Source organism: Homo sapiens, chromosome 2 (genome assembly GCF_000001405.40).
Source record: "Homo sapiens chromosome 2, GRCh38.p14 Primary Assembly".
Taxonomy (NCBI): Eukaryota; Metazoa; Chordata; class Mammalia; order Primates; family Hominidae; genus Homo; species Homo sapiens.
The window spans coordinates 88,878,304-88,892,451 of record NC_000002.12 but is presented as its reverse complement, the minus strand read 5'-3'; the positions used below and the strand labels follow the sequence as shown (position 1 = coordinate 88,892,451).

Genomic DNA, 14,148 nt, shown 5'->3' with positions numbered 1-14,148 from the left:
CCCCAAGCCCTCAAGTGGAGGCTGCAAATACAGCAAACTTGTGTCTACTACTCAGAGTCGAAAGCCTGTCTGTGCACAGCAGTCCTGGTACCATCTGTGTCAGTGATGGCTCAGGGGTCAGCTGTTACATATGTAAGTATTACTTGATGCATTTTAAAATCTTACAAAAGACAATTCTAAGGGTCAGACTGAGAGAAAGACTTAATTCAATGTCTCATTTGTATGAGTAAGATCTAATTTGCATCACTAAGATCTAATATGAAAAGTTATGTGAATTTGGTTGGTCCCTCTCGCTCTCAAAATATCTTCTTTTACAGTACTCATGTGTTTTAGACTGTGGTTGACTATAAGTAACTGAAGCCACAGAAAGGAGATTTGTGGATGAGGGGGGACTAACATACTTAGGAATACAACTATATACATATGACTTCATTTTTAAGACCATATTGTATTTAGGTATCTACTAATATATTATATAAAGCTATGTTTTATTCCATTCCCTGGCTTTTACTTTTATCATGTATGTACTCGGACACACAATAAAGCAGAAAATTGTTTCCCCCAACCACAGTTTTACTCAAAACTTAGAATCATCGGCAGTCCTTGGTTAAAAATGTGTTTTTCTAGAACCTTCTGCAGTTTTGATTAAATAGATTCCATGGAAACCACACACACAAAAAAAGAACTAAATGAGAGCTCAGATTTACCTCACCTACAGAGGTCTATTTCTTCTCTAGAATTTTAGGTCATCTAACCTTTGTGTCTTCTGTAGCTCTCCGATGTCATCATACACATGAATTTTTAGTTAAGTTTGTGTTTATTTCTGCATTTATAGCAACAGCTATGGTGGTCTTCTAAGTGGAAATTCTTTCATTTTTTTAATTAAATTATAATATGCTCATGTCCACTTCTGTATTATATTATAAGACATTAAGGTCTATGTCAATCAATAAATACATATGACATACACAAATGCTGAAAATTTATTAAAAACTAAAGAAATGATAGTGATCATGTCAGAGTTTATGATATTAGATAATAAACATGATTTCCATATACCAGTAATAAATGTCTAGAAATATGTGTTTTAAATATACCGCATTTAAAATTTTCTCTTTTTTTTCACAAGGGGTCTCACTATGTCACTCAAACTGGCCTCAAATCTGTGAGCTCAAGCCATTCTCCTGCTTCAGCCTCTCATTCCTAATACTGTTTGTGATTTAATAACAGGAAACATCACTTATGGTATTATGTTACACTGAAGTTAATGAAGGTTTGAATTCACAACAAAATAATCCCCTTCTGCCAAAGGAAATAAATTGTATTTGAGATGCCACCTATTCCAAAGTAAGATATCCCATGGTGAGTATAATCAAAATTTCAATGACAATATACAACATACATCAATATATAGAGAACAGAAAGAAAACTTAGTTATTTGATTAAAAAATCATTATCTCAGCAGGGTGCGGTGGCTCATGCCTGTAATCCTAGCACTTTGGGAGGCCAAGGTGGGCGGATCACTTGAGGTCAGGAGTTTCAGACCAGCCTGGCCAACATGGTAAAACTCTGTCTCTACTAAAAATACAAAAATTAGCCAGGCTTGGTGGTGTACACCTGTAGACCTAGCTACTCAGGAGGATGAGGCAGGAGAATTGCTTGAACCCATGAGTCAGAAGTTGCAGTGAACTGAGATTGCACCACTGCACTCCAGCCTAGGTGACTGAGTGAGACACTGTCTCAAATAATAATAATTATTATTATTACTATTATTATTTTCTCAATAATTAATTTACAAATATTTGAAGTTGCAGAGACAGAAAAAAATAGAGCAGAAGGAAATACAGTTGGAAAAAAAAAACAGACAGATACTTATCTGTGCTACTCTATCAAAAAAATGCTTAAGAAGTCTTTGCTCATGCCTATGTCCTGAATGGTATTGCCTACATTTTCTTCTAGGGTTTTTATGGTTTTAGATCTTAAACATTTAAGTCTTCAATCTACCTTGAGTTAATTTTTGTATAAGGTGTAAGGAAGGGATCCAGTTTCAGTTTTCTGCATATGGCTAGCCAGTTTTCCCAACACCATTTATTAAATAGGGAATCCTTTCTTCATTGCTTGTTTTTGTCAAGTTTGTCAAATATCAGATGGTTGTGGATGTGTGGCATTATTTCTGAGGCCGCTGTTCTGTTCCATTGGTCTATATATCTGTTTTGGTACGTGTAAATTAGTTCAACAATTTACACGTACCAAAGAAGACAGTGTGGCAATTCCTCAAGGATCTAGAACAAGAAATACCATTTCACCCAGCAATCCCATTACTGGGTATATACCCAAAGAATTATAAGTCATTCTACTATAAAACACATGCACACGTATGTTTATTGCAGCACCATTCACAATAGCAAAGACTTAGAACCAACCCAAATGCCCAGCAATGATAGACTGGATAAAGAAAATGTGGCACATATATACCATGGAATACTATGCAGCCATAAAAAGGGATGAGTTCATGTCCTTTGCAGGGACATGGATGAAGCTGGAAACCATCATTCTCAGCAAACTAACACAGGAACAGAAAACCAAACACTGCATGTTCTCACTTATAAGTAGGAGTTGAACAATGAAAACACATGGACACAGGTAGGGGAGCATCACACATCAGGGCCTGCGGGGGGAGAGCGGGGGCTAGGGGAGGGATAGCATTAGGAGAAATACCTAATGTAGATGATCAGTTGATGGGTGCAGCAAACCACCATGGCATGTGTATACCTATGTAACAAACCTGCACGTTCTGCACATGTATCCCAGAACTTAAAGTATAATAATAATAAACCAGGAAATAAATAATAATAAACCAGGAAAGCCAAGTTAAACCCATTTGCTTGACTGATCATGATCCTACTGGATACATTCTCATGGGTCCCAATTTTGCCCACTGCTCATTTTCACTGATCTCATTTTAGGGGGTTTTAGGTATGGAGTCCTTAGGATTTTGCATTAAGTTTGGTGATTTTTAAGAGAGGCCTATCACCAGAGCTCCATCAGTGATCATTTGACTTTATGTCTGACCCTGTACACAGGTGGCTACTTGTCTCCTAACCTCAGTTTTCCTCTTTTTCCTTATTAGAAAACAATAACAACATCAACACAGACCCTCTTGGAGCTAGGAATGGCCAAAAGAAGTGATGTGTAAAAAACAAACAAACAAAAATAAATAAATAAATAAAAACCACTTAATAAACTGGATGTAGAAGAAACATATCTTAACATAATAAAAACTATATATAACAGACACACTGAATGGGGGAAAAGTGAAAGCCTTTCCTGAGAGATCTGGAACATGACAAGGATGCCCACTTTCACCACTCTTATTCAGCATGGTACTGGAAGTCCTAGCTAGAGCAATCAGACAAAAGAAAGAAATTAAGGAGATCAAAAATTCAATGGAAGAAGTCAAATTATTCTTGTTAGGCGATTATATGATCTCATATTTTGAAAAACCTAAGGACTCCACTAAAAAACTCTTAGAACTGATAAACCAGTTCAGTAAAGTTGGAGGACACAAAATCAACATACAAAAAAACAACAGTATTTCTATATGCCAACAGTGAACACTCTGACAAAAAATTAAAAATAATCCCATTTACAATAACCATACTTAAATTCATAAGAATTAACCAAACAAGTGAAAGATCTTTATAATGAAAACTATAAAATACCAATGAAAGAAATTGAAGAAGACACCAAAAAATGGAAAGATATTTCATGCTTAAGGATTGGAAAAATCAGCATTGTTAAAATTTCCATAGTACCCAAAGCAATCTACAGATTCAATGCAATCCCTATCAAAACGCCAATGACATTTCTCACAGAAATAGAAAAAACAACCCTTAAATTTATATTAAACCACAAAGGACCCACAATAGCCAAAGCTATCTTAAGCAAAAAGAACAAAACTGAAAGAATTGCATTACCTGACTTCAAATTATACTCAGAGCTATAGTAACCAAAACAGGGTGGCACTGGCATAAAAAAGAGACACATAGACCAATGGAAAGAATAGAGAACCCTGCAATACAAATCCACATACCTGCAGTCAATTCATTTTCAACAAAGATGTCATCAATTTACACTAGGGAAAAGAATCTCTTCAATAAATAATGCTGGGGAAATTCGCTATCCATATGCAAGAGAATGAAACTAGACTTCAATCTCTCACCATATAGAAAAAGCAAATCAAAATGGATTAAAGACAAATCTAAGACCTCAAACTATGAAACTACTACAAGAAAACATTTGGGAAACTCTCCATGACATCAGTCTGGGCAAAGATTTCGTGAGTAATACCCCACTAGCACAGGCAATCAAAGCAAAAATGGACAAATGGGATCACATTAAGTTTAAAAGCTTCTATACAGCAAAGGAAGCAATCAAAAAAGTGAAGAGGCAACCACAGAATAGGAGAAAAAATTTACAAACTATCCATCTGACAAGAGATTAAGAACCATAATATGTATGAGGAGCTAAAACAACTCTATAGGAAAAAGTCTAATAATCCAATCAAAAATAGGCACAGGATTTGAATAGACGTTTCTCAAAAGAAGACAAACAAATGACAAGCAGGCATATTAAAAGGTGCTCAGCATCATTGATCATTAGAGAAATGCAAATCAAAACTACAATGAGATATCATCTCGCCCCAGTTAAAATGGCTTATATCCAAGAGACAGGCGATAACAAAAGCTGGCAAGAATGTGGAGAAAAAGGAACCCTTATACACTGTTGGTGAGAATGTAAATTAGTACACCCACTATGGAGAACAGTTTGGAGGTTCCTCAAAAAGCTAAAAATAGAGCTACGATATCATTCAGCAACTCCACTGCTGGGTATATACCCAAAACAAAGGAAATCAGTATATCAAAGAGATATCTGCTCTCCCATATTTGTTGCAGCACTGTTCGCAATAGCTAAGATCTGGAAGCAACCTAAATGTCCATCAACAGATGAACAGAAAAAGAAAATGTAGTACATAAACACAATGGAGTACTATTCAGCCATAAAATAGAATGAGGTCCTGTCATTTGCAACAATTTGGATGGAACTAACGAACGTCATTACGTTTAGTGAAATAAGCCATGTACAGGAAGACAAACATCATTTATTCTCATGTATATGAAGAGTCTAAAAATGAAAACAATAGAATTTATGAACATAGAGACTAGAAGGATAGCGACCAGAGGCTGAGAAGAGTAGTGGGCAGGGGTGGGGAGTAGGGGGAAAGTGGGGATAGTTAATCCATACAAAAAATACTTAGAAAGAATGAGTAAGTCCTACTATTTGCTAGTACAACAGGGTGACTTTAGTCAATAATAACTTAACTATACATTTTTAAATAACTAAAAGAGTGTAATTGGATTGTTTGTAACACAAAGGATAAATGCTTAAGGGGCTGGAGACCCCATTCTCCATGATGTGATTATTACACATTGCATGCCTGTATCTAAACATCTCAGGTACCCCATAAATATATATACATATGTGTATATATATATGTGTGTGTGTGTGTGTGTATATATAATCTTTCTACTGTATACCATGAAAATTAAAAATGGAAAAATGATAAATAAGAAGAAAGTTGGCAAACTATTGTAAAAGGCAATGAGAAATGCTGTCACATATTTCTAGAGTAATAAAGAATTAGAAAATTGCCTATGAAAGTATTAATATGATGGAAAGAAACAGGGTCTCTGGAAGGAAAAAGCTACAGAGGGACACTACCTTCTATGTGGGAGGCTATGAATAGGAAGGATCAAGGTTTAATATTGGGAAGGATTGCAGATGAAGAAAGAAAAAAGAGAATTAGGAATCCAAGTAGAAACTTTCCAGAGTCAAGGAGGCACATAGAGGAAAGAATTGACCCATCTGTGCGTAAAACTGAGTGGACCCTGTTCTAGAGAGTAAAGATAAATCTATTTGGCTCGGTCATGTGATGTGTCCATGTGAAACATGCAGGTTCCTGCAACACAAAAACTCCTGACAATGTCTCTAAGGGATCTTTACAACATTTTGCTTTAATAATCTTCTACAAAAAGAGATCCAGCAAAAGTCAAGTCTCTTAATTTAATCCTGGGCCCTGCAAACCCTCCAACGAATAAATCAAGAGAGTGACCTCCCCAACACACAGAGGAAGCATGCATGTTGGGGGCTGTGTGCAGAGGAAGCAGCTGCTGCAGCAAAGACCTACTGGCCCAGCGTATGGGGAGGAGGTTTGTGTTCGAGGCTGAAGCACTGTGGGAGGAGTACTATAATATTGCTGACAGTAATAAACTGCCACATCTTCAGCCTGCAGGCTGCTGATGGTGAGAGTGAAATCTGTCCCAGACCCGCTGCCACTGAATCGGTCAGGGACCCCGGATTCCCGGGTAGATGCCCAGTAAATGAGCAGCTTAGGAGGCTGTCCTGGTTTCTGCTGGTACCAAGCTAAGTAGTTCTTATTGTTGGAGCTGTATAAAACACTCTGGCTGGACTTGCAGTTGATGGTGGCCCTCTCGCCCAGAGACACAGCCAGGGAGTCTGGAGACTGGGTCATCACGATGTCCCCGTAGGCACCTGTAGTCAGTAATGGACAATGATTATACATAAACTTATACACGCTGTCTCAGATATAATTGAAATATGTCATTTAAATTTGCTTTCTAGTAGTATTATAAGTCAGCAGATAATTGGATCCATATTGGAAATAGTCATTATTTCCAACTATATCTTAATTTTTTTTATTTCTACACAGATATTACTCTGAAAAGACTGTGGCACTTTTTAATTCCTCACCAGAGATCCAGAGCAACAGAGAAATGAAGACCTGGGTCTGCAACACCATCTTGCTGCCCCTGCCTGCCTGTTGTAGCTCAGTTCACAATGCAAACGGCCCGTTTATAAAATCCAAACAGCTGGTCGTGGCCTGGAGGGGCCTATGCAAAAACAACCAGTGAGTACAAAAGCAAATTTCATGAGCAGTGGGTTGTGAAAGTACCCAATGTAAATCAAGAGCCAAAAATATCATCACAGAATGTGTAATTGTATGAATAGAAAAGACAGAAGTCAACTTAGAAGCTCTAAAACTACAAACTGCTGAAAGATCTAATGACTAGGACAGCCTAGTAATTTTCATAGGGGCATAAATGTGAAACGCCTTGTGCATCGTAGAAGAAAGCAGAAGAGAAAGCATTCCCAATTTCTTAACTGCCTTTTACCTATATTAATCAGTAATATACTGGCTTTTACCTCTGTTAATCATAATAAACAAATTCTCAATAAATTTTATCGATACTCTTCAATGCCTGCTCAGCAACATTTTCCGAAGGCAGCTCAAGATATTAAATAACTCATAAGGGCCAACCTCCTATTGCAGCATTCTTTGGGATTTAACCAGTTTCCCAAGACTCTTTTCACAATGTTAAGATGTTAGAAATAGATCCAAAACTAGGTGATATATCCCCTAGTAAAACTGTGAGGTCAAACTTGTCTGGCTAATGCTTCCATTTAAAAATTTCTCTTTCTTGATCCTTCATTGTATGTACACAATAAATCAGGGGAAAACTTTAACTGAGTGAATCAAAGTATTCTCATTATTATAATAGGAGCTTCACACACACACAAAAAAATCAATTCTATTACTCTCAGCCTCAGTTCCTAAAGCCAAGTTAAAGTCCTGTTCTAAGATCATTGTTGCATGACCATATGTATTCCAGGTCTAATCTAAACTGTGGATAAATCCCAGCAGGACATTAGAGATTTTTGTGAGAGTAAGCATATAGGATTCAGGGTTTATGAGCTTTAGATTTTTCTTGTCAAAATGAATGAGAGTTGCCATATCTAAAAATTATTCCCAGATAAATAAAATTCACTACCTAGAATTAATTTATGCATATAAGTAGAAATGCTATCTCCCTTTTTACCATCCAAAGTGGAAAGCCTCATGGAACTAGAAATTAATATTAGAAAAATCAGTTAATAAAAGTATGTCATTTCATCAATTCAATAAGTTATAATAGCAAAAAACCATAATAAATTATCACTTAAATGTCAATACATTTATAAACTATGGTACATAAATAGGATATTGAATAGCCATTGATGCTCCTGATGAAAATTAGCAGGCAGTGATAAATGATAAATATGAAGCACATGTCAATAAATAAAATAAGTTTTATGTAATTTAGGAGAAAATGGTGATAATGACACAAAATGTGAATTATGGATGCATCTATAAAATTCTTTGTACATTTGTGAATTGTAAATATTTATCTTAGAGACATTATTACTTTGTATATGTTCCATTTGCTCACCTATATGTCCCAGTCTCCTTACAAATGCTATGGCCAAAGAAATAGGCATACATACATCCTTTGCAGGCTGAGGCAGGAAAAAGATCTTACGGAATTTTCCAGTCTATCCTTTATCTGTATAAGCAACTTAAGAGGCCATGTGCTCCAAATGGTGCAAATACAAGATGGTAGAGCCTCTGTCTGCCTGGATCCTTGAGTGGCTGCATGGAGCAGAGCACCTTTCTGGCCCTGGTGAAGATTGTAGCATGAGCAAGATATAAGCATTTGTTGGAGCTAGGCCATGAGATTTGGGGCAGTGGTATAACCTACCCTATTATGGAAAATATAAATACACAAAACAGAAAAGAGAGAGAGAAGTGAGAGAAGACTGTGAGAGAAGTGCATGAGAGAAGACTGTGTTTTGTTCATTTCCTATAATCCTATATCACCATGGGATCCTGTGCCTTCTGGTGATCAAACTAATGTTCTACAGCTCCAAAGAAGAATGCTCGCCTAACGTCTCCATTCCAATGACCTAGAGACTAAAAGCCAAAAAGAACCTTAGAAATTATCTATTGCATTCTTTGATGTAAGGAAATATCTTAGAGGGCACAGATAGAAATATCTTAACCCAGGTCACTTAGTTCGTGGCAGAGCTGAGGCTAAAACCAGGCCTTTTGACTCCTAATTTTGTGCTCTTTACACCTTCTCACATCACTTCTCCAACCCAAAGTCTAGCAGAAAAGGCTAAAATAAGATATATGCATAGATTTGCTATTATAAGTCCATGTACTTCCTCAGACGCTTTAAGATGGGGCTTCTCATGGTTCACAATAAGCAGCAGAGGGAAGTGAATAACTATCTTCGTCTCCCCTACTGCTATTTGTGCAGTTTGAAGCTTATCTCTTAAATCATGTTTTCTTCTCGTAGTAAATACTACAACTTGTGCCTTTTATGTGTGTATAAATTTTAATATAATTTTTTTCCATGAACCATTCAAGTAAAATGGACACTCCAAAAAGATGTTCAATAAGGTTACATGGCTTCACATTGCCCCCTCTACACCATCTTGTGGAGCTACACATTCACCTCACCCAAATTTGAGAAAAATAATCAAGAAAATGACTCTCACTAGCAGTGAGACCAAGTCCATAAGCACTAATGTCATCAGTGCACACTGCAGCCTCATGCTGCCAAGCATGTTTTGGGCGTATCCCTGGACTGGTTTGGTGACATGATCAAAGGTACATTTTCCACCTGCATAGCCCCATCCTGGATCTATAGCCTTCCTTGTGTCTTTGTGAACAACCTAGTGTGAACTCAAAGTATGAGACAGATCTCAATTAATTTAGAAAGTTTATTTTCCCAAGATTAAGGACAAGCCCATGATAAAGTCTCCAGAGGTCCTGATATATGTGCCCAAGGGGGTCGGGGCACAGCTTGGTGTTATACATTTTAGGGAGACAAGAAACATCAATCGATATGTAGAAGATGTGCATCGCTTTGGTCTGGAAAGGTGTGACAACTCAAGGCAGGGAAGGGGGCTTCCTGCTGGGGTTGCATTGTTTTGAGTCTCTGATCAGCCTTTCACATGTGAAAGGCAGGTAGAGAAATAGTCATTTATGCCTTAGTCTGGCTTATTGAAACAGTAGGGCAGAAGAAGCATTGCATATGCATTTGTCTGAAGTGAACAGAGGGATGACTTTGAGCTCTGTCCTTTCTTTGTCCACAAGGAATTACCTTGTGGGCAAATTGTGAGGGAGGTATGTAGCTTTTTTTTCTTTGTAGCTATCTTATTTAGGAATAAAATGGGAGGCAGGTTTGCCTGATGCAATTCCCAGCTTGACTTTCCCTTTTGGCTTAGTGATTTTTGGGGTCCTGAGGTTTATTTTTTCTTTCACATTAGTATAACTACTTTTCTTTTTCTAATTCCTTTTCTACTTGTATGTGTTACAGCTGACTTATGTTACTTGCAAAAAGAATTCTGACTAATGCACCATCTGACTAGAAGGCAGGGTTCTTCGATGATAACGAATCCTCCAGAATCTAGTAAACAGAATTGCCTGAAAAAGAGGTGGGTGTCTTCTTGGGGAATTTCTCATGGCAATGAATGGCAACTGGCCAAAGGATTTATGACCAGACTGAGCTCTCTTTTATCTATTCTGTTACTCACCAAGACCTATTAGGGTTTGTGCTCCACAGGGACACTGGTTTCTAAGTTCTAGGGTTAAACAGTCCACTCCCAGGCCCACCACACCATACCCTCCTGACATCTGGTGAACAGCAATAAAATTGTTTCTTATTCTGAAAATCCTCCAATACTTCCACCATCCCCAAAAATGCAGTGGAGGAGGAGAGAAAATGAATTGTTCCATTAGAGAACACAATATCCATTATATTATTCTTGGCCTTTGAGATACCTTACAAAACAAATACAAAAAAAGTCCCAATTTAACATCTTTTAATAATCTTTACAAAACAGAACACATCTCCTTTCTTGATAATAGTCAAGAGGCTCAGTGGCAACTGTGGTGAAAAGTGTCAGATTCTGGTCATGTTTCAAAGGTAGAAAAAATAGAATTTGTTAACATATTGGATGTGAGGCGTGGGAGAAACGTGAAATCAAGGTGGTTGCAAGTGTTTAACCTGAGCAACTAGAGAATTTGGAAGGACATTTTCTGAGATGGGGAAGGCAGGCGGGAATCAGGGATTAGAGTTGAACATATTAGACATTTGAGATGCCTGCTAGACCTCTAATTGGCAATATCCCTTGGACAGGTGGATGAATATGCGTGATTCTGGAGTTCGGGAAATAGTCCGGGTGGAGATGCAAATTTGGGAAACAGGGCGAGGTTACTAGCAATGAGTTAAATCAATGAAGGCAGGCTGGGACCTGGCAGGTAACCCAACAAGTAGAGGTCGAAGAGATGAGAAGAAAACAGCACAGGAGACTTAGAAGCAGTGGTCAGGAGGAAGGAGTTGAACCAAGAAAGTGATGTCCCAGAGCCAACAAAATAAGGATTTCTTTTCTGTTTACAAATGTAAAATTAAAAGGTTTAATAAAAAGAAAATTTACTTTTATGGTTGGTTGTTATTAAGTGGTCCAAACACTGTCTCCTATTTGTAGAATCAGAACTCTCTCATGGCAGTAGAAAATTTGGAAAGTTACTTTTTAAAAGGTGTGTGCACTGCTGCCCTTTGCTGGTCAAGTTTATGCACTGCAAATTCCAAGGACGATTGCTCGTCAGCTTTTCTCCTTTAAAATAGCTCAGGCTGTACAAGCTAGAAAGAACCTCGCAAGATATTCCTTCCAACATTTGCATTTGACTTATGGGAAGTGCAGGTTCAGCCAGAAAAGTTGTGTGCAAGGCCGTTTATGTAAGTTTATCAGACCTGATTCTTACGGCTCTTCCCATTGTTTCGAGCCTCCCTTCCATTCACTTCCCGCTCATACGCGACCAAGTATAGGACAGGAGTAGTTATTCTGCACTTTATAGCAGCTCCACTGTCTGGCACTCTGATGTTCTTTAATTACAAGCTTTATGACAGTGATTCTCAACCTGCTCCACTGCCTCCACCTAGTGGCAGAAAGAAGAAAATGTGTGTAACTCGGGAGTCTCTGGTCTGAAAGCTCCGGGGTATCATTTCTTCAAAGTCTTGAGCTTGTTTTTGTTTGTATTTATTTATTTATTTGTTTTAGAGACAAGGTCTCGCACTGCACTCCAGCCTGGGAGACAGAGCGAGACAATTCAGGATCTATCTAGTGAATAAAGAGATATCAGTAATGACTGTTTTATATTGTGGCTGTAGCGCATTCGAGGGATAATTCGATTCTGTTCTGCTTTCGAATGCATGGCTCACTGTAACCTCCAACTCCCGGGCTCAAGCGATCCTCCTACCTCAGCTTCTCCAGTAGTTGAGCTTGATTTATTTTAAAGTTTCATAAAATTTTGGCATTTCTTTCCACAATATGGCCATGTGTGCTTTACTATAAAATATTTTCATCACAAAATTTACATCGCTGGAAATCCCCATAAGCCAGTTTGAGAAACACAACCCAAGAAAGCAGAACAGACTCAAATTATCCCTTAAATCCCCCTTAACCACAAATATAAAACAGTCCGTGACTGGGCGTGTTGGCTTACACCTGTAATCCCAGCACTTTGGGAGGCCAAGGCGGGTGGATTACTTGAGCTCAGGAGTTCAAGACCAGCCTGGCCAACATGGTGAAACCCCGTCCCTATTAAAAATACAAAATTATTCAGGAGTTGTGGCAGGCAGTTGTAATCCCAGCTACTTGGGAGGCTGAGGCAGGAGAATCACTTGAACCCAGGAGGTGGAGGTTGTAGTGAGCCAAGATTGTGCCAGTGCACTCCAGCCTGGGCAACAGAGCGAGACTTCCATCTTAAAAAAAAAAAATTAAGTAAATAAAATATAAAAAAATAAAGCAGTCCCTATTGATATCTCTTTATTCACTAAATCAACCTGGAATTGACCTGAATTCTGATTTTTTTTTCATCATGGATTTTTTGCATTAATTTTGATTGTTTAAATATTGCATTAAAATATTATTTATCTTGACTACTGAGTTTGCGGGACCTCCTTAAAATTTATGACCAAGGCAATGCCTCACTCACTCGCCTTACCATAATCTGGGCCACATATCAGGGGCTCCAATAGCAAGCAACATGACTTTTGAACAGCTAAGACTTCTCTCTTCACTGTGAAGACCAGATGGGCCCTGCAAACAGTGTAACCTCTACATGAAAATGCACGAGATTCCAACTACAACCAGGCACAAAAGACTCTGATGGTGAAGTCCCAGCCCTCCAAGTCCCAACTTCCTGAAGGGAAAGAGCACCCCAAGTTCTGACCAGAGGCCAGAGTCATAACGAAGATGGAATGTGAGCTTGACATAGAAGGGGTGGTAGCACCTGGCTCAGTAATGAAGAGGCTTTCGGTCCTGAAGGAAGAGCTCAGCACATTCAAAGATTAGAAGGGAGGTCCCAGTCATAGGAGCAGGGAAGGAGAGAAGGCCCAATAAGAAACACAGACAGGAGGGAGGGGTCAGGGCAAGATCATACTGGAAACAACTAGAGAGCTAATAAAAGTCACAGTGCCCAGTCCCCACATGGACCAGACTCTTCGGAATCTCTAGGCATCAATTTGGGCACCAGTAGTTTTCAAAGTTCTCCAGAAGATTCTATGCACACCAGCCAAGGGTGGGAACCACAGGTGTTGGCCTAGGGATCATGACAATGAGTTTCTAAGTGCAATAAGAAACCTCCAGAGAGTTTAAGCAGGGGAATAATTTGATTTGTTTCTTGTTTGTGATTTTTAAAGATCAGTCTGGTTACTGTGTGTAAGACAATAATCCAGAAAATCTGTTGCTCATGAACCACATATCTGTAAATTTGCTTCCCCTGTAACTGGATCTAACCAACAAAAATTAGTACTTACTAAGAAATTACATGCCCAGGGACTATGCTAAGTAATTCATAAACACTATTTTATTTACTCCTCACAGCAAGTTTATAAGAGAAACGTTATTATTTCCACATTTCAGATGAGAAATTTGAGGCTTGGGGAAAGTTAAGTAATTTACCTAATGTCACACCCAGTTCATAAGATGCAGAGTTAAGATTCTAATTCTGTGTCTAAGTTGATGCTCCATCAAACACACCACGCCTCCAACTAGGAAGAAACATGCTGGCCAGAGGATGCTGTCATCAAGTTTACAGAATGGTTAGATTTCTAGGCACAGATGAATAAATCAACATGTTGGTTTGCAATAGAATGAATCTATCCAGCTCTGAATTTG

General features: G+C 38.3%; 1 gene segment (V, D, J or C) and 1 further gene, besides 2 other annotated features; both read right to left on the bottom strand.

Moving 5' to 3' along the window:
• Positions 1-14,148, bottom strand: part of IGK (immunoglobulin kappa locus) — a 1,378,008-nt gene that overhangs the window by 1,342,917 nt on the left and 20,943 nt on the right.
• On the bottom strand, positions 6,299-6,880 carry IGKV4-1 (immunoglobulin kappa variable 4-1). The segment is given in 2 exon segments: positions 6,299-6,612; positions 6,832-6,880. Coding segments are annotated over 2 exon segments (363 nt in total), but the record flags the coding sequence as incomplete, so codon positions are not given.
• Positions 6,602-6,612: a sequence feature (IGKV4-1 leader sequence).
• Positions 6,832-6,880: a sequence feature (IGKV4-1 leader sequence).